Source organism: Homo sapiens, chromosome 4, assembly GCF_000001405.40.
Source record: "Homo sapiens chromosome 4, GRCh38.p14 Primary Assembly".
Classification (NCBI taxonomy): Eukaryota; Metazoa; Chordata; class Mammalia; order Primates; family Hominidae; genus Homo; species Homo sapiens.
Genome location: NC_000004.12, coordinates 145676621 through 145697336, shown reverse-complemented (window position 1 = coordinate 145697336; position 20716 = coordinate 145676621). Strand labels below are relative to the sequence as shown.

Sequence of the window (20716 nt, the reverse complement as noted above, 5' to 3'; positions counted from 1 at the left end):
CACAAGGTCAGGAGTTTGAGACCAGCCTGGCCAACATGGTGAAATCCCATCTCTTCTAAAAACACAAAAATTAGTTGGGCATGGTGGCAGGTGCCTGTAATCCCAGCTACTTGGGAGGCTGAGGCATGAAAATCGCTTGAACCCAGGAGGCAAAGTTTGCAGCGAGCCAAGATCGCACCACTGCACTCCAGCCTGGGTGACAGAGTGAGACCCTTTCTCAAAAAAAAAAAAAAAAATTGCTAAGAGAGTAGGTCTGTTTTTGTTTGTTTGTTTGGTTGGTTGGTTGGTTTTGTTTTGTTTTTTCAGACCGAGTCCTCTGTCACCCAGGCTGTAGTGCAATGGCACCACCTCGGCTCACTGCAACCTCTGCCTCCCGGGTTCAAGCAATTCTCCTGCCTCATCCTTCCAAGTAGCTGGGATTACAGGTATGCGCCACCACACCCAGCTAATATTGTTTTTGTATTTTTGGTAGAGATGGGTTTCACCATGTTGGCCAGCCTGGTCTTGAACTCGTGACCTCAAGTGATCCGCCCACCTTGGCCTCCTGAAGTACTGAGAGTACAGGTGTGAGCCACAGTGCCCGGCCTACAATTTTTATTTGTCAATCATATCTCAGTAAAGTGAGAGAAAAAAAAAGAACCTGAAAGAAACACAGCAACCCTGGCAAAAGGGCTGGGCCCAGAAACTGATCATGTTGCACTTACCTTTGATATCTGTAGTCTCTTGGGTACCAGCCCAGCAGAGAAGATGACAGGCAGAACTGTTTGTCAATGACATCCTAAGGAAAGCAAGTAGAAGAAACAAGTTACAAATTTATGGATTTATAAATCACATGAAGCCTGTGGACTTACAGGGATTTCCATTCATCTTTTTTTAAAACTTTCATTTTAGGTTTGGGAGTACATGTGAAGGTTTGTTATTTAGATAAACTCGTGTAACGGGGGTTTGTTGTACAGATTACTTCATCACCCAGGTATTAAATCTAATACCCGATAGCAATTTTGTTCTGCTCCTCTCCCTCCTCCCACCCTCCACCATCCAGTAGACCCCAGTGTCTGTTGTTCCATTCCTTTTTTGAGACGGAGACTCACTCTGTCACCAGGCTGGAGTGCAGTGGTGTGATCTTGGCTCACTGCAACCTCCGCTTTCCAGGTTCAAGTGATTCTCCTGCCTCAGCCTCCTGAGTAGCTAGGACTACAGGCACGCACCACCAAGCCCAGCTAATTTTTTTATTTTTAGTAGAGACAGGGTTTCACCATGTTGGCCTGGATGATCTCAATCTCTTCACCTCGTGATTTGCCCACCTTGCTGGGATTACAGGCATGAGCCACTGCGCCTGGCCATGTTGTTTCCTTCTTTATGTCCATGTGTTCTCATCATTTAACTCTCACGTATAAATGAGAACATGCAGTATTTAGTTTTCTGTTCCTGCATTAGTTTGCTAAGGTTAATGGCCACCAGCTCCATCAATGTTTCTGCAAAAGATATGATCTTGTTCTTTTTTGTGACTGCATAGTATTTCATGATGTATATGTACCCCATTTTCTTTTTACAACCTGTCATTGATTGTCATTTAGGTTGATTCTAGGTCTTTGCTATTGTGAATAATGCTGCAATGAACATTTGCATGCATGTGTCTCTATGGTGGAATGATTTATATTCCAGAAAGATTTCATGACATAGATGCCAAAAGCAATCACAACAAAAGCCAAAGTTGACAAAGGGGATCTGGTTAAACTTAAGAGCTTCTGCACAGCAAAGAAACAGACAACCTACAGAAGAGGATAAACCAACAGAGTAAACAGACAACCTACAGAAGAGGATAAAATATTTGCAGGCTATGCATCTGACAAAGGTCTAATATCTGGCATCTAAAGGGACTTAAATTTGCAAGAAAAAAAACAAACAATCCCATTAAAAAGTGGGCAAGGGACATAAACAGACACTTTTCAAAAGAAGACATGTGGCCAAAAAGCATATCAAAAAAAGCTCATTATCACTGATCATTAGAGAAATGCAAATTAAAACTACAATGGGATACCATCTCACACCAAACAGAATGGCTATTATTAAAAAGTCAAAAATAACAGATGCTGGCAAGGTTGCAGAGAAAAGAGAACACTTTTACACTGTTGGTAGGAGGGTATATTAGTTCAACCACTGTGGAAAGCAGTATGACAATTCCTCAAAAAGCTAAAAATAGAACTACCGTTCTGCCCAGTGATCCCATTACTGGGTATTTACTCAGAGGATTATAAATCATTCATCTTTTTATTTGGTTTCTTAAACACTTGTTTGTTCTCTTCCACTCTTTCCATATTCCCAACTGTAATCCCACAATCCCATTAAATAAACTACAGTTGGACTTTCTTATCGTCTTTAGTGATTTGTTTGTTCTCTAATTTGTCATAAAAGGGTAACATTTTCAACTTCTGTGCATGAAAAGCTCAAACATTAAGTTCATAATTATTTCAAAGGGATTTATGAGTGTTTCTCTAGGGAGCTGTTTTCAAAATAAGATAAGTGCTATGAATGGGATAAGAAAGATTACAGTAATTATGTTCATTTCTGAAAAAACTAAAAACTTGGCCGGGCAGAGGGGCTCCTCACTTCCCAGTAGGGGCGGCCGGGCAGAGGCGCCCCTCACCTCCCCGACGGGGCGGCTGGCCGGGCGGAGGGCTGACCCCCCCACCTCCCTCCCGGACGGGGCGGCTGGCCAGGCGGGGGGGCTGACCCCCCCACCTCCCTCCCGGACGGGCGGCTGGCCGGGCGGGGGGGCTGACCCCCCCACCTCCCTCCCGGATGGGGCGGCTGGCCGGGCGGGGGGCCGACCCCCCCACCTCCCTCCCGGACGGGGCGGCTGGCCGGGCAGAGGGGCTCCTCACTTCCCAGAAGGGGCGGCCGGGCAGAGGCGCCCCTCACCTCCCAGACGGGGCGGCTGGCCGGGTGGAGGGCTGACCCCCCCACCTCCCTCCCGGACGGGGCAGTGAGGAGTGTCTCTGCCTGGCTGCCCATCGTCTGGGATGTGAGGAGCCCCTCTGCCTGGCTGCCCAGTCTGGAAAGTGAGGAGCGTCTCCGCCTGGCCGCCATCCCATCTAGGAAGTGAGGAGCGCCTCTTCCCAGCCGCCATCACATCTAGGAAGTGAGGAGCGTCTCTGCCCGGCCGCACATCGTCTGGGATGTGAGGAGGAGATCGTCTGAGATGTGGGGAGCGCCTCTGCCCCGCCGCCCCATCTGGGATGTGAGGAGCGCCTCTGCCCGGCCGAGACCCCGTCTGGGAGGTGAGGAGCGTCTCTGCCCGGCCGCCCCGTCTGAGAAGTGAGGAGCCCCTCCGCCCGGCAGCTGCCCCGTCTGAGAGGTGAGGAGCCTCTCCGCCCGGCAGCCACCCCATCTGGGAAGTGAGGAGCGTCTCCGCCCGGCAGCCACCCCATCTGGGAAGTGAGGAGCGTCTCCGCCCGGCAGCCACCCCGTCCGGGAGGGAGGTGGGGGGGGTCAGCCCCCCCGCCCGGCCAGCCGCCCCGTCCGGGAGGTGAGGGGCGCCTCTGCCCGGCCGCCCCTACTGGGAAGTGAGGAGCCCCTCTGCCCGGCCAGCCGCCCCGTCCGGGAGGGAGGTGGGGGGGTCAGCCCCCCGTCCGGCCAGCCGCCCCCTCCGGGAGGGAGGTGGGGGGGGTCAGCCCCCCTGCCCGGCCAGCCGCCCCGTCCGGGAGGTGAGGGGCGCCTCTGCCCGGCCGCCCCTACTGGGAAGTGAGGAGCCCCTCTGCCCGGCCACCACCCCATCTGGGAGGTGTACCCAACAGCTCATTGAGAACGGGCCAGGATGACAATGGCGGCTTTGTGGAATGGAAGGGCGGGAAAGGTGGGGAAAAGATTGAGAAATCGGATGGTTGCCGTGTCTGTGTGGAAGGAAGTAGACATGGGAGACTTTTCATTTTGTTCTACACTAAGAAAAATTCCTCTGCCTTGGGATCCTGTTGATCTGTGACCTTACCCCCAACCCTGTGCTCTCTGAAACATGTGCTGTGTCCACTCAGGGTTAAATGGATTAAGGGCGGTGCAAGATGGGCTTTGTTAAACAGATGCTTGAAGGCAGCATGCTCGTTAAGAGTCATCACCAATCCCTAATCTCAAGTAATCAGGGACACAAACACTGCGGAAGGCCGCAGGGTCCTCTGCCTAGGAAAACCAGAGACCTTTGTTCACTTGTTTATCTGCTGACCTTCCCTCCACTATTGTCCCATGACCCTGCCAAATACCCCTCTGTGAGAAACACCCAAGAATTATCAATAAAAAAATAAATTTAATAAAAAAAAAAAAAAAAACAGGTGAAAAATTGTTCATTTCACCTGATGGGACTTACAAAAAAAAAAAAAAAAAAAAAAAAAACTAAAAACTTAATATCAGCGGAGTAACTTGGGGACTCACAGATGCAGTGTGTATCCTTTGAAACACATCTGTATCCCAGTTTCCTTGAATCCAAATATGATACTCTAAGCAAGCAGGGACTGGGTGGGAAGTGCAGGTTATTTTGTATGGAATGAACAAAGTCATCAATTTCTAGAGTTCAACACATGGTAGTAATTATTTTAGGGCCTCTGATTGAGGGAGGAGGGTCCTCACACTTCAGGAACCTGTAACTCTGTGAGGCAGGGGTAGAGTGGAATTGATATCAGCCTAACGAGCCCTAAAATATTCCTATACATGTATTCAGCACACAAACTAGCCCTAATTATTCCTGAGACAAGGGCTGGTGGCCTACCCTGCATCTTTCTTCTCCTAATGACAGCAGCAGTTGAATCACCTGGGCGTATGAATTTAAAAGTGCAGGTTTTTTAGCTCAATCCCCAGTAATTATTCTTCAGTAGATTTGGGGCAGATGGTCTGATACAGGTGGTCACTGGGCCAATTTCCTGACTTCTACAGGAACCACTACTTTGCTTCTCTTAATACATTTTGTCACTAAACACTATAGTTTGGTTTGGGCTGGTTTTTTTGAATTTTATATAAACAGAATTATACAGCATGTCACCTGGTTCAAAATGCCCAACATTATGTTTGTGAGATTACTGAGTGGAACCATAGTTTTTTCTTATTCATTACCATGCAGCATTCCATTGTATGACCACACTACTGTTGACTCTTCTGTCAATGAATAGTACTTATTCTACATTTTGCTTCTTTTAGTTTTTTTGGCTATTATGAAAAGTACTGCTAAGAACATTATTGTACGTGTCTCTCCACGTACATGTGAAAGTGCATTTCACTTGGAGTAGAATTGCTAGGTCTACAATATCCATAGAATCAACTGTAGAAAGTAAAACCAAACTTTTTCTAAAGAGCAATATCAACTTACATTCCTATCAGCTGTATATCAGAGATCTTATTGTTAGGCATCCTTACCAACATTTAGTAGGCTTTTTTTTTAGACTCAAGGGGTACATGTGCAGGTATGTTACATGAATATATTGTGTGATGCCGAAGTTTAGGCTTATATTGAACCTGTCACCCAAACAGTGAACTTAGTACCCAATAGGTAGTTATTCAACCCTTGCTCCCTTCCCTCTCTGCCCTCAGTGTCTACTGTTCCATTTTTATGTCCATGTGTACCCACTGTTTAGCTCCCACTTATAAGTGAGAACATGCTGTGTTTGATTTTCTGTTTCTGCATTAATTCACTTAACAGCTGCATCCATGTTGCTACAAAGGACATTATTTCATTCTTTTTCGTGGCTGTGTAGTATTCCATGGTGTATACATGCCACATTTTCTTTATCCAATCCACCACTAATCAGCACCTAAGTTGATTCCATGTCTTTGCTATGGTGAATAGTGCTGCAATGAACATATGAGCACATGTGTCTTTTTGGTGAAATGATTTACTTTCCTTCGGATATATACCCAGTAATAAGATTGCTGGGTCAATGGCAGTTCTATATTTAGTTCTTTGAGAAATCTCCAAACTACTTTCCACAGGAGCTGAACTAATTTACATTCCCACCAACAGTGTATAAATGTTCCCTTTTCTCTTCAACCTCATCAATATCTGTTATTTTTTGACTTTTTATTAGTAGCCATTCTGATTAGTGTGAGATGGTATCTCATTGTGGTTTTTGTTTGCATTCCTCTGATGATCAGTGATGCTGAGCATTTTCTTCATGTTTGTTGGCCACTTGTTGTGTTTTCTCTTGAGAAGTGTCTATTCATGTCCTTTGTGCAATTTTTTTTTTGAGACAAGGTCTCACTCTGTCACCCAGGCTGGAGTGCAGTGGCATGATCATAGCTCACTATAGCCTCGACCTACCAGGCTCAACCAATACTCCCACCTCAGCCTCCTGAGTAGCTGGGACCACAGACACATGCCCCCACATCTGGCTAATTCTTTTTTTGTGGGGGGTGGGAGCGGGGAGATGGGGTTTCCCTATGTTCCCAAGCTGGTCTCAGATTCCTGGGACAAACAGTCCTCTTCCTGCCTCGGCCTTTCAAAATACTGGGATTACAGTCATGAGCCACCACACCTGGCCCTTTGTGCACTTTTTGATGGGTTTGTTGGTTTTTGCTTGTTGATTTAAGTTCCTTGTGGATTCTGGATAGTAGTCCTTTGTTGGATGCATAGATTAAAAATATTTTCTCTCATTCTGTGGGTTGTCTCTTTACTCTGTTGATAGTTTCTTCGGCTATGCAGAAGCTCTGTGGTTTAATGAGGTCCCAATTGTCAGTTTTTGTTTTTGTTGTGTTTGCTTTTGAGGACTTAGCCATGAATTCTTCGCCTATGGCAATGTCCAGAAGAGTGTTACCTAGGTGTTTTCTTCTAGGATTATTATTATTATTATTATTTTGAGATGGAGTCTCACTCTGTCGCCCAGGCTGGAGTGCAGTGGCGCCATCTCGCTCACTGCAAGCTCTGCCTCCCGGGTTCACGCCATTCTCCTGCCTCAGCCTCCCGAGTAGCTGGGACTACAGGTGCCTGCAACCATGCCCAGCTAATTTTTTGTATTTTTAGTAGAGACGAGGTTTCACCATGTTAGCCAGGATGGTCTTGATCTCCTGACCTCGTGATCCACCTGCCTTAGCCTTGCAAAGTGCTGGGATTACAGACGTTAGCCACCGCGCCCAGCCTATTTTATTTATTTTTTTTACGGAGGTTTGCTCTTGTTGCCCAAGCTGGAGTGTGATGGTGCAATCTCAGCTCACTGCAACCTCCGCCTCCCGGGTTCAAGTGATTCTCCTGCCTCAGCCTCCCGAGTAGCTGGGATTACAGGTGCCTGTTACCACGCCCAGCCAATTTTTTTGTGTTTTTAGTAGAAATGGGGTTTCACCATGTTAGCAAGGCTGGTCTTGAACTCCTGACCTCAGGTAATCCGCCCACCTAGGCCTCCCAAAGTGCTGGGATTACAGGTGTGAGCCACCGCGCCCAGCCTCTTCTAGGATTTTTATAGTTTGAAGTCTTACATTTAAGTCTTTAATCCATCTTGAGTTAATTTTTTTTATATGGTGAAAGGTAGGGGTCCAGCTTTCTTCTTCTGCATATGGTTAGCCAGTTTTCCCAGCACCATTTAATGAATAGTATGTCCTTTCTCCTTTTTTATTTTTGTTGACTTTTTCAAAGATCTGTTGGCTGTAGGTGTGTGGCTTAATTTCTGGGTTCTTTATTCTGTGCCATTGGTCTATGTTGACACTTAATATTAATAGTCTTTTAAATTTTAACTTTTCTGGAGGGTGTTTAGCATAAGCTCTTTGTGGTTTTAATTTGCATTTTATGATTCCTAACGTGGTTGAGCACCTTTGGTATGTTTATCGGTTATTTGGATATCTTGGTTTATTGATTTAATTTTGAAGTCTCTTTCCTATTTTTCTAGTGAGTTGTGTTTTTTTGGTATTAATTTGTAAGAGTTTTTACAAATTCATATATATACACATATATGTATATAGATACATATATGTCTCATAGATGCAAGCCTTTTGTCAGTCACTAAGTTGAAAATATATTCTTCTCTGTGGCTTGCCTTTTTATATGCCCTTAATATTGTATTTAGTTGAATAGAACTACTTAATTTTAAGGTAACTCAAAATTTATCTAACTTTTTCCTTCTGGTTAGTGTTTTCTGTGTTTTGTTTAAGAAATCTTTGCCAACCTTGAAATCATCAAGATATTCTCCATATTGTCATCTAATGGTTTCATTGATTTGCCTTTTACACTTTGTTATTTAATTCATCTGAATTAATTTATTTGGAATTGAAAACCGCCTTTCTTTGCTACTCTGCTGTCTTTTTTTATGAATCAAGTACTTGTATATGCATGGGTCTGTTTCTGGCTCTTTATTCTGCTCCACTGGTCTTTGTTTATTCTTGTTTCATAAAAGCACCCTGCCTTAATTACTGAAGCTTTATAATATGTTTGTTGTTGGTAGAACAAGACCTCACCTTTTTGTTGTTGTTGTTTGTTTGTTTGTTTATTTATTTTGAGAGTGTCTCAGCTATTGCCTGGCTCTTTGTAGTTCCACATAAATTTTAGAATCATTGTGTCAAGTTCTACAAAAACACCTATTGGAACTGTATAAAATCTATAAATCAATTTGGGAAGAACTGACATTTTTACAATATCCTTGTATTAGTCCATTTTCACACTGCTATAAAGATACTACCTGAGACTGGGTAATTTATAAACAAAAGAGGTTTAATTGACTCACAGTTCCACATGGCTGGAGAGGCCTCAGGAAACTTACAATCATGGCAGAAGACAAAGGGGAAGCAAGGCACATCTTAAATGGTGGCAGGAGAGATAGAGCATGCTGGGGAAACTACCACTTTTAAACTATCAGATATCAGGAGAACACTTTCACTATCACAAAAGCAGCATGGGGGAACTGCCCCCATGATCCAATCACCTCCTACCAGGACCTTCCCTTGACATGTGAAAATTACAATTGGATATGAGATTTGGGTGGGACACAAAGCCAAACCACATCTATCATCTTTCAATTCATGAACATGGTTTGTATCTCCTTTTAGATTGCCTCTATTTTCTCTAATGTCTTCTGGTTTTCTGAGTGGAGATCTTGCACATCTTTGATTACATTTCTTTGCAGAGATGTGACCTATTTTAGCCATGTTGTAGGTGCTTTTTTTTTTTTTTTTTTTTAAGGTAGGATCTCACTCTGTCACCCAGGCTGGAGTGCAGTGGTACAATCATGGCTCACCTCAGCCTCCATCTCCCAGGCTTAAGTAATCTTCCCACCTCAGCCTCCCGAGTAGCTGGAACCACAGGCATATACCACCACCTGGCTATTTTTTTGATTTTTGCAGAGATGAAGTCTCACTATGTTGCCCAGGCTGGTATGTGGCATTTTTTACATCATTTTCAACTGTTACTGGTAAGCACTAACTTTTTAATTTCCTCTTTTAATTTAGATATTTATTAAAAGTTTATATCATGCGATGTTTTCCTTTATTATAAAAATCATGTGTGCTTTTTCTTTACTTAAAAATGTTTCTGCTCTCCCTCCCACCTGTATTACTTTTGTATTGCTGCTATAACAAACAAGTGCTCCCTATTTGTCCTGTGGCTTTCCATGAGCCCTGGCACAGTGCTACTCCATTTGAGAAGCATAACCTGACATGCTGCTGCTTTTTCACTCCAGAGTTTGTTTCTGTAACTGCCAATTCAGAAAGGAAAATCATTGCTTTTCAAACAATTTTGGACTATTCTGAAAGGCTCAGTTACAGTTATCACAACTTTTTCTCTTTTCTGGGTTTGTGTTCCCCCTAAGCAACAATGAGGTCAATTGAAGGAGTCCAAGACTGACACAGAAAAGTAAATTTTGTCCTCTAGTGAAAAGGAGATGTGAACCCTGAAAATTTGAGACATGTCTCAGTTAATTTAGAAAGTTTATTTTGCCAAGGTTAAGGATGTGTGCCTATGACACAGCCTCAGGAAGTCCTGAGGACATGTGCCCAAGGTGGTCAGGGCACAGCTTAGTTTTATACATTTTAGGAAAACATGAGACATCAATCAATATATATAAGAAGTACATTGGTTCGGTCTGGAAAGGCAGGACAACTTGAAGCAAAGGCAGGAAGACTCAAAGAGGGGAGGGAACTTCCAGGTCACAGATAGGTAAGAGATGAAGAGTTGCATTCTTTTGAGTTTCTGATTAGCCTTTCCAAAGGAGGCAATCAGATATGCATCTATCTCATTGAGCAGAGGTGTGACTTTGAATAGAATGGGAGGCAGGGTGGCCCTAAGCAGCTACCAGCTTGACATTTCCCTTTAGCTTAGTGATTTGGGGGCCCCAAGATTTATTTTTCTTTCAAAGGGGTAGAAGGAAACCGCCCCCCCCACAAGATCCAATGTCTTCTGAAAGGGTGACTCCTCAGAATCCCCTTAAGTGACATCAAGTTTGGTGTCAGGCTGCCATGTGGCAAGAATAGATTTTTCACCCTCTTCCAAACAGCATTTCCCATTGTTTTCTGATCATATAAGATCCATCTGGAGCACTTATTAAACATACATTAATCAGTGCTTCATTATGATAATTTCTAAGGAGAGTGACTTGAGAACTTTTATTTTTAAAAAGAACTTATCATTTTCATGATCAAACAAATGTAGTAACCAGCATTGCTCTCAAGGACTATCAAGGGGGTGGGAGTGATCAAGTTACAATGTGCAAACCTCACTGTTGTTTCCAGGGTTTTTTAGTTTTCCTTGAATATACACTCCTCAGATTGTTGTAAACCTTTGGTTAATTTTCAGAGTTTTGAAAAAGTTGACTTTGACAATTTGTGCAAGCAGTGAATATACAGAATGTACATCCCTCTGTATATACAGTTATATACAGAGGGATGGATATACAGGGAGCCCCTCTCTGCATTCTACAAGTTCTGTCCTTCACAAGTTTTCATTATTATTATGATTATTGTAAAATACACACAAGAGAAAATTTATCATTTTAGTTATTTTTAAGTGTACATTCAGTGAAAGTAAGAACATTCACAATGTTGTGCAATGATTACTACTATCCATCTCTAGAACTTTTTAGTCAACCCAAACAAAAACTCTATATTCATTAAACAATAACTCCCCATTTCCCCCTCTTCCTAGCCTCTGGTAACATGTATTCTACTTTTTGTCTGTATGATTTGCCTAGCCTAGGTACGTCACACAAAATTTGTCTTTTTATGTCTGACTTTATTCACTTAGCATAAAGCTTTCAAGGTGCATCCATGTTGTAGCATGTGTCAGAATTGCATTCCTTTTTAAGGCCGAATAATATTCCATTGTATGTATGTACCACATTTTGTTTATTTCTTTATTGATGTATATTTGGGTTGTTTTCACCTTTTGGCTATGGCTTTCACAAGTCTTTTATTTATCATACTTTATGTATTATTCAATTCAAAGATTGTTTTCTAATTTTCATTGTGATTTAATTTTTACTCATGGGTTATATGAGTGTACTGTTAAATTTCTATATATTTAGACATTTTCTAGTTTTGTTTTTGTCATTGATTTCCAGCTTACTAACACTTGTCATAAGGGAGGAGACCACCCCTCATATTGTCTTATGCCCAATTTCTGCCTCCAAAGAAAGAAAAAGTAAAAACTAAAAGGCAGAAATGAAATCCACAAGCAGACGGCCCGCCGCCACACCCTGGGCCTGGTAGTTAAAGATCGACCACTGACCTAATCGGTTATGTTAACTATAGATTACAGACATTGTATAGAAAAGCACTGTGAAAATCCCTATTCTGTTTTGTTCCGATCTAATTACCAGTGCATGCAGCCCCCAGTCACGTTACCCGCTGCTTGCTCAATTGAGCACGACCCTCTCACACACACCCCCTTAGAGTTGTGAGCCCTTAAAAGGGACAGGAATTGCTCACTGAGGGAGCTCAGCTCTTGAGACAGGAGTCTTGCCGATGCCCCTAGCCGAATAAACCCCTTCCTTCTTTAACTCGCTGTCTGAGGAATTTTGTCTGTGGCTTGTCCTACTACAGTCAGAAAACATACTCTGTATTATTTGAATTATTTGAAAATTGTTGCTTTTTAATGGCCTAAAATATGGTCTTTACAGCAGTGTGAAAATGGACGAATACAAGGATATTGTAAAAATGTCAGTTCTTACCAAATTGATTTATAGATTTTATACAGTTCCAATAGGTGTTTCTGTAGAACTTGACACAATGGTCAACCACAGAATGTATATTCTGTGGTTGATAGGTTCAATACTATAGCTATGTCAATTAGGACAAGTATCTTAAGTTGTTCAAACTTGGTTTGCCTTTATTATTTGCTTTTTTCCATCAGTTACTGACAGAGGTATGTTAAAATGTTCAACTATGATTGTGTATTTACTTATTTCTCCTTTTGGCTCTTTCAGTTTTACCTAATAAGCTTAGAGACTATGTTACTAGATGCAGACAAATTTGAGATTGCTATATCCTCCTATTTGGTTGTTAGAAAATGTCTCTCCTTAACCCTAATAGTACTTCCTGCCTTCTGACCATCCCATTTAAAGCCAGCCTTCCTCTCCATTCCCCAGCTTCCCCTGCCTCAATTTTTAAAGACTTTTTTTCTAAGAGCAGTTTTTCAGTCACAGCAAAATTAAGATGAACATACAGAGATTTCCCATAAACCTCCTGTCCCTTCAAATTCATAGCCTCCCCACTATCAACATCCCCCACCACAGTGGTACATTTGTTACAACTGATGAACCTACACAGACACATCAATTATCAGCCCAAGCCCATAGTTTACCTTAGGGGTTCACCTTGATAGGTGCGTAATGTTATCTCATTATTTTAATTTGTATTTCCCTGATGACATATGTTGTAGTGGGACATCTTTTTTATTTTTTGTTTGAGACAGAGTCTCGCTCTGTCACCCAGGCTGGAGTGCAGTGGCATGATCTTGGCTCACTGCAAGCTCCGCCTCCTGGGTTCACGCCATTCTCCTGCCTCAGCCTCCTGAGTAGCTGGGACTACAGGCACCCGCCACCAAGCCTGGCTAATTTTTTGTATTTTTAGTAGAGACGGGGTTTCACCATGTTAGCCAGGTTGGTCTCGATCTCCTGACCTCATGATCTGCCTGCCTTGACCTCCCAAAGTGCTGGGATTACAGGTGTGAGCCACCGTGCCCGGCCAGTGGGACATCTTTTTACATGCTTATTTGCCAACTGTGTATCCCTTTGGTGAGGTATTTTTTAAAGTCTTTGGCCCATTTTTAATTGGATTGTTTGTTAATTTAATTTTAAGAGTTCTTTGTATATTTTCGATAACAGTTCTTTTTCAAATTTGTTTCTTTTTCAAACAAATCTTTTTCAAATGTTTGTTATTTTGGATAAAAGTCCTTTGCAAATATTTCCTTCCAGTCTGTGGTTTGTCTTCTCATTCTCTTGACGTTGTCTTACTCAGAACAGATATTTTTAATTTTAATGAAATTCAGCTTATCCATTATTTCTTTGATGGATCATACCTTTGGTGTTGTATCTAAAATATCATTGCCATTGCCATACCCAAAGTCATTTAAGGTTTCTCCTGTTATCTTCTAGGAGTTTTATAGTTTTGCATTTTACATTTAGGTCTATGATCCATTTTGAGTTAATTTTTGTGAATGGTATAAGGTCTGTGTCTTAGTTAATTTTTTGGCATGTGGATGTCTAGTTGTTCCAGCACCATTTGTTGAAAAGAACAATATTTGCTCCATTGTATTGCCTTTGCTTCTTTGTCAAAGACCAGTCGACTATATTTATGTGTACCTATTTCTGGGCTCTCTATTCTACTTCATTGATCTGTTCTCTCACCAATACTACACTATCTTGATTACTTTGGCTTTATAGTGAGCATTAAAGTTGGGTAGTGTCAGTCCTCCAACTCTATGTTCTTCTTCAATATCGTGTTGGTTATTCTTGGTCTTTTGCCTCTCCATATAAACTTTAGAATTAGTTTGTTGATATTCAGAAACTAACCTGTTGGATTTTGATTGCAACTGCATTTAATCTATAGACAAATTTGGGAAGGGCTGACATCTTGATAATGTTCAGTCTTCCTATCCATGGACATGGAAAAATCTCTCCATTTGATTAGTTCTTTTTTGATTTCTTTCATCAGAATTTTTTAGTTTTCCTTATATAGACCTTGTACATATTTTGTTAGATTTATACCTAAGTGTTTAATTTTGGGAGATGCTAGTGTATATGGTATTATGTTTTTTATTTAAAATTCCACTTGCTTATTGCTCATATATAGGAAAATAATTGATTTTTGTATATTAACCTTGTATTCTGCAATCTTGCTATAATAGCTTATTAGTTCCGGGATTTTTTTTTAAAATTTTTTTATTTTTGCTGATTCTTTCAGATTTTCTATGTAGATGATAATGTCATCTGCAAACAAAGACAGTTTTATTTGTTCCCAATTTGTATGCCATTTCATTCCTTGTCTTGAATACAGAAAGAATCAAGACTTAATAATTTATACTTGAGCCACGTTCCTGTCTTAGGAATTCCAAAATGTGACCCTTCCCTTATTTTAACCATGGCAGACAACTGGGATTGACACCAATATTTCATAATAGCTTAAGGTCTGTATCACACTAATTTCATTCTCCAAATTCGGAATCCTTTTGATTACGTTTATAAATTTACATATCTGCGGTTAAAACTGGTTCAGAACCAAATGATCAAGACTTTTACCAAGTTTCTTCTATCTCACACAATATGAATATTCAATGTATGTGGTAAATAAATAAGATGAATAAAAAGTGTAATGTATAATGTTTTGTGTATTTTAGTACTTTCCTGACTTAACCCACTTTAAATGATCAGTCATTTTATGTTTTGTCCCAGTAATTCTCCTTGGACCATTCTGACTTTATAGCAATGTAAAATGTCTCTCTATAGCCTTATGGAATTTTAATCAAATAGCTTTTGCTCAGAACTTAAAAAGACATTTGTCCTTGGGGCTAAAATTAGCCATGAAAAAGATTAAAAACAAAGCAAATTTAGAATATAATCAGTACTTTCAAAATGAGCTCAATTTGTGCTTCATCTTCATTTATAACACTTGCTTCTTCTTAGCTTCTAATAGAATAAGAAATAATTGTGCAAAGAATATATTTACATTTCTGAGGTTCCAAAAACAGATGAACCTCACAAGCTCATGCTCTTTTGTGTTTTGCAATGTCACAGGCCGCCTTGGTTGGAATGATTCACATAATGATCACTCTCTGAATAGGAAAAAATTCCAGGTCCTATACATTTTCACCAGATGTCCTATTCCTGCATTTTTTTCAGAGTTATTAAATATAGTACCTTTTTTCCTACTCTGGTAAATGGATCTGTTTGGATACCATCTTTCTTTCAAACACTATTTTCAGACAGGACCTCAGCAGTGCTTAAAGACTCCTGTTATGGTTTGAGTGTGTCACTCAAAAGTTCATGTGTTAGAAATTTAATCCCCAATGCAATAGTTTTGGGAGGTAAGGACTAATAAGAGGTGACTAGGTCATAAGTGTGGAACCTCCACAAATAGATTAATCATATGAGCAGGTTAGTTATCTCAAGAGGAGGCTGTTTATAAAGCAAGTTCAGTTTCTGGTATCTCTCTCTATCATAAGTGCTCTCTTCCACCTTTCACCCTCTGCAATAAGATGAGCCTCACCAGATGCTGGCACCATGTTCTTGGACTACTCATTCTCCAATAACCCTGAGCCAAATAAACTTCTATTATTTATAAGTTACCCAGTCTGTGGTATTGTGTTATAGAAGCAGAAAATGGACTAAGACAACTTCACTACCTGGCCAAGATGAACCTCAAGTATCACAGAAAAAGTAGCAAAGGGATGTCCAAAGCTAATTAAGTGTCAATATACTTGAGAGTTATTTTAAAAATGCAGAAATTATACTTTGTTGGACTAAACCAGATAAGGCACCCAATTGAGAAGTACTTCTGAGACATTTTATCTTTAAGTACTTGTTTTGATGATTTGGAAAGGTCTGGATGGAAATATAACTAATATTTATCAGGGTATTATGTGGGTTATTGCTCTTATCTGAAGTTGAGGTTAATAATTCAACTGATTATCAAATATGTTCCAAGAATTTGGATAAAATATTTACCAATTAATATATACAGATGGATAGATTTCATAACAAGTCCTGACATTTTTCCACATCCCCACTTATACTTTCTCAAATGTACTTAGCTCCTTGCAGCTCCTTGACAGTGCTTGGGGCTAAATGGTTCTTTCTCCATGCAGTGTGCTTTTCCATTCCCCACCTCGCCTGCCTTTCAAACCAGCTTGGAGGAAACCTATTTTACTGAGCTCTCTTCAGACACACAACACTCCCTCCCTCACCAGACACCCACAAAATCTCCTTACTTTGTGCTGATTACTTATTTCCCTAGTTCCAGTCACTTTATAAACTGAAGTTAATTTTTTTGATTATGGGCTTATCACAGGGCCTGGCTTACAGAAAACACTCAGAAAATGCAATAACCACAGGTAGGGAGTAGGGAAGGATTTCATGAATTTCTTCCTCCTCTGAAGGAAGTTTTAAGCTCCTGAAAGCCAGAAAACCAAACAAGAAACAAAATGAAATTCTCAGGAGCACCTTTTTGCTGAAAAGAGAACCCCAAATACCCAAAATTTAGTCAAATATTCATATCCATATCCTTTCAGGACTAGGTAGTTATATGTAATTTTAGGAATACTAAATAGAGAATAGGATCATAATTTCAGCTGGTCACTGACATTTAGCTCTTCTTCCTGCTGACATTTACAAAAGAAAATACAGAGGGTTAAAGTCTATGAAGTCTCTCAGGGTCTACAATACCTCTTTCTTCTAAGAGCACTCTTGTCTATTTATAGTGATATATCCAGGTGCAAATTACAAAGAAATCTTACTGTTTACACTCAGGCTCATGCTGTCCTGCTCTAAAAGAAAATTGGCTGCACATGGACTTGTCCAGTTGTTTTTTCCGGTAACTGCCTGTGTATGTTGTCACGGAAGAATCTGACCATCGTGTTTCATCCTGCCAAGATGCTCCAGCCTTGCGTCTGATCAGATCAAACTCTTGAGAAGTAAGAGGGCTAAAGGGCAGAAGAATTTGTGGAGTCAAGTAGAAGTAGTGTGACATAACTACGAACGGCCTCTCTGGAAAACAACTTGTCAAGTCCTCTGCATAATGAAGAATTAATTTCCTTCTAGTAGCAGGAAGCAATTGACTGGGCTCACCAAACTTTGTGACTCAACAGTTCACAGAGTGCAGAAGCTTAACTGTCTTAGATATAGTTGCCAAGCAACAGATCACAAAATTCCACAAATGCTATCCCCTTGCCTCCCAAGGGAGGTAAATTTTAACTAACAAATTTGTAAGTTATATAACTTTCTGGATTTTGCTCTAAGAAATATGAAATATGCTGCTTCATAATTATGGCAAGAAAGCAGGTGGCAAAATTATTTGTATTTTACTGCTATCATGAATAAAGCAGTAATTCTTAATGATGGTGGTTCAAGAAGTGGAAACAAGAGATGAAAGAACAGTGCCAAGCATTCACTTCTCCTAAAGACCTCCAAGTGTCTGGAAGAGAACATGAACTGCTTGTAATGTCAACAATAGCAGGTGACTCAACAGCTTCTCATATGTCACAGAGTAGTGGTGCTCTGGCTGGCTGCACACTAGAGTCACCCTGGAAGCTGTTAAAATAAGCAGGAGTCCACGCCCCCACCACAGAGATTCTGATTTAGTTCATGTGGAGTAGGGCCCAGGCATCACTATTTGTTTAAAGCTTAATCCTGGAGGATTCTAAAGAGCAGCCAGGGTTAAGAATTAAGGTCATGGACACGGAAAAAACATTTGACAAAATCCAGCATCCCTTTAGGATTAAAACTTGAGGCAAAATTGGCATAGAAGGGACATACCTCAAAATACTAAAAGCCATCTATGTAAAACCCACAGCCAACATTATACTGAATGGGGAAAAGTTGAAAGCATTCCTCCTGAGAACTGGAAAAGGACAAGGATGTCCACTTTCACTACTTCTATTCAACATAGTACTGGAAGTCCTAGCCAGAGCAATCAGACAAGAGAAAGAAATAAAGGACATGCAAATCAGTAAAGAGGACGTCAAACAGTTGCTGCTCACTGATGATATGATCATATACCTAGAAAATCCTAAAGACTCATCCAAAAAGCTTCTAGATCTGATAAATGAATTCAGTAAAGTTTCAGGATACAAAATCAATGTACACAAATCAGTAGCACTGTTATAAACCAACAGCGACCAAGTTGAGAATCAAATCAAGAACTCAACCCCTTTTATAACAGTTACAAAATAAATAAATAAATAAAATACTTAGGAATACAACTTACAAAGGAGATGGAAGATCTCTACAAGGAGGCTGGGCACGGTGGCTCACGCCTGTAATCCCAGCATTTTGGGAGGCTGAGGCAGGCAGATCACGAGGTCAGGAGATTGAGACCATCCTGGCTAACATGGTGAAACCCCATCTCTACTAAAAATACAAAAAATTAGCCTGGCGTGGTGGAGGGTGCCTGTGGTCTCAGCTACTCAGGAGGCTGAGGCAGGAGAATGGCGTGAACCCAGAGGTGGAGCTTGCAGAGATGCCAAGATTGTGCCACTGCACTCCAGTCTGGGTGACAGAGCAAGACACCATCTCAAACAAAAATAAAATATAATAAAATAAAATGAAATAAAATAAAATAAAAATCTCTACAAGGAGGCCAGGCACGGTGGCTCATGCCTGTAATCCCAGAACTTTGGGAGGCTGAGGCGGGCAGATCACGAGGTCAGGAGATCGAGACATCCTGGCTAACACGGTGAAACCCTGTCTCTACTAAAAAATAAAAAAATTAGCCAGGTGTGGTAGCGGGCGCCTGTAGTCCCAGCTACTTGGGAGGCTGAGGCAGGAGAATGGTGTGAATCCGGGAGGCGGAGCTTGCAGTGAGCGGAGATTGCGCCACTGCACTCCAGCCTGGGTGACAGAGCAAGACTCCGTCTCAAAAAAAAAAAAAAAAAAAAGATCTCTACAAGGAAAACTACAAAACACTGTTGAAAGAAGTCATAGGTGACACAAACAAATGGAAAAACATCACATTGCTCAGGGATGGGTAGAATTAATATTGTGAAAATGACCATATTGACAAAAACAATCTATAAATTCAATGCAATTTCCATCAAAATACCATCATCATTCTTCACAGAAGTAGAAAAAACAATCCTAAAATTCACATGCAATAAAAAAAAAGTCTGTGCAACCAAAGCAAGACTAAGCAAAAAGAACAAATCTGGAAGCATCACATTGCCCATCTTCAAACTATACTACAAGGCTATACTTACTAGAACAGCATGGTACTGGTACAAAAATAGCCACATAGACCAATGGAACAGAATAGAGAACCCAGAAATAAAGCCAAATACTTAGAGCCAATTGATCTTCAACAAAGCAAACAAAAACATAAAGTGAGGAAAGGACACCCCATTCAACAAATGGTGCTGGGTAATCGGTAAGCCACATGTAGAAGAATGAAACTGGATCTTCATCTCTCACCTTATAAAAAATCGACTCAAGATGGATCAAAGACTTAAATGTAAGACCTGAAACCATAACAATTCTAGAAGATAACATAGGAAAAACTCTTCTAGACATTGGCTTAGGCAAAGAGTTCATGACCAAGAACTCAAAAGCAAATGCAACAAAAACAAAGATAAACAGATGGGACCTAATTAAACTAAAAAGCTGCACAGCAAAAAATATAATCAGCAGAGTAAACAGACAACCCACAGAGTGGGAGAAAATATTTGCAAACCATGCAAAGTTTGCAACAAAGTTCTTTGTTCTAGACAAAGGACTAATATCCAGAATTGACAAGGAACTCAAACAAATCAGCAAGAAAAAAACAAATAATCCCAGCAAAAAGTAGACTAAGGATACGAATATACAGTTCTCAAAAGAAGATATACAAATGGTCAACACAACGTGAAAAAATGCTCAACATCACTAATTATCAGGGAAATGCAAATGAAAATGAGATATCACCTTACTCCTGCAAGAATGGCCATAACTTAAAAATAAAAAAAAATAGATGTTGGCATGGATGTGGTGAAAAAGGAACACTTTTATACTGCTAGTGGGAATGTAAACTAGTACAACCACTATGGAAAACAGTATGGAGATTCCTTAACTAAAAGTAGAACTACCATTTGATCCAGAAATCCCACTATTGGGTATCTACCCAGAGGAAAAGAAGTCATTATTTGAAAACGACACATGCACACGCATGTTTATAGAAGCACAATCTGCAATTGCAAAAATATGGAACCAGCCTACGTGCCCATCAACCAATGAGTGGATAAAGAAAATGTGGTGTATATAGATACCATGGAATACTACCCAGCCATAAAAAAGAACGAAGTAATGGCATTTACAGCAACCTGGATGGAGTTGGAGGCCATTATTCTAAGTGAAGTAACTAAGGAATGGAAAACCAAACATCGTATGTTCTCACTCATAAGTGGGAACTAAGCTATGAGGACGCAAAAACATAAGAACTATATAATGGACTTTGGGGACTCTGGGGCAATGGTGGGAGGCAGGTGATGGATAAAAGATGATACATTGTGTACAGGGTGCACCAAAATCTCAGAAATCACCAGTAAAGAACTTATCCACGTAACCAAACCCACCTGTTCCCCCGA

General features: G+C 40.8%; 1 protein-coding gene across 14 annotated transcripts in view, besides 1 other annotated feature; it reads right to left on the bottom strand.

The window, feature by feature from the left end:
- Positions 1-17191, bottom strand: part of C4orf51 (chromosome 4 open reading frame 51) — a 112298-nt gene extending 95107 nt beyond the window's left edge. For all 14 annotated transcript variants that reach the window (XM_047416079.1, XM_047416083.1, XM_047416086.1 and 11 more), the window contains exons 1-2: positions 16901-17191; positions 705-778 (exon numbers count right to left, since the gene is read on the bottom strand). In XM_047416079.1, coding sequence (XP_047272035.1) covers positions 705-778; positions 16901-17133 — 307 coding nt within the window. In that variant the 5' untranslated portion in view covers positions 17134-17191. The remainder of the gene's footprint in view (positions 1-704; positions 779-16900) is intronic.
- Positions 9872-10426: an enhancer, noted in NCBI's record as "OCT4-NANOG hESC enhancer chr4:146608063-146608617 (GRCh37/hg19 assembly coordinates)". NCBI's record gives its function as "activates a minimal SCP1, AML or CMV promoter by ChIP-STARR-seq in naive H9 embryonic stem cells {active_cell/tissue: H9 hESC(naive)}" and the evidence as "EXISTENCE:reporter gene assay evidence [ECO:0000049][PMID:30033119]".
- Positions 17192-20716: the final 3525 nt, after the last annotated feature.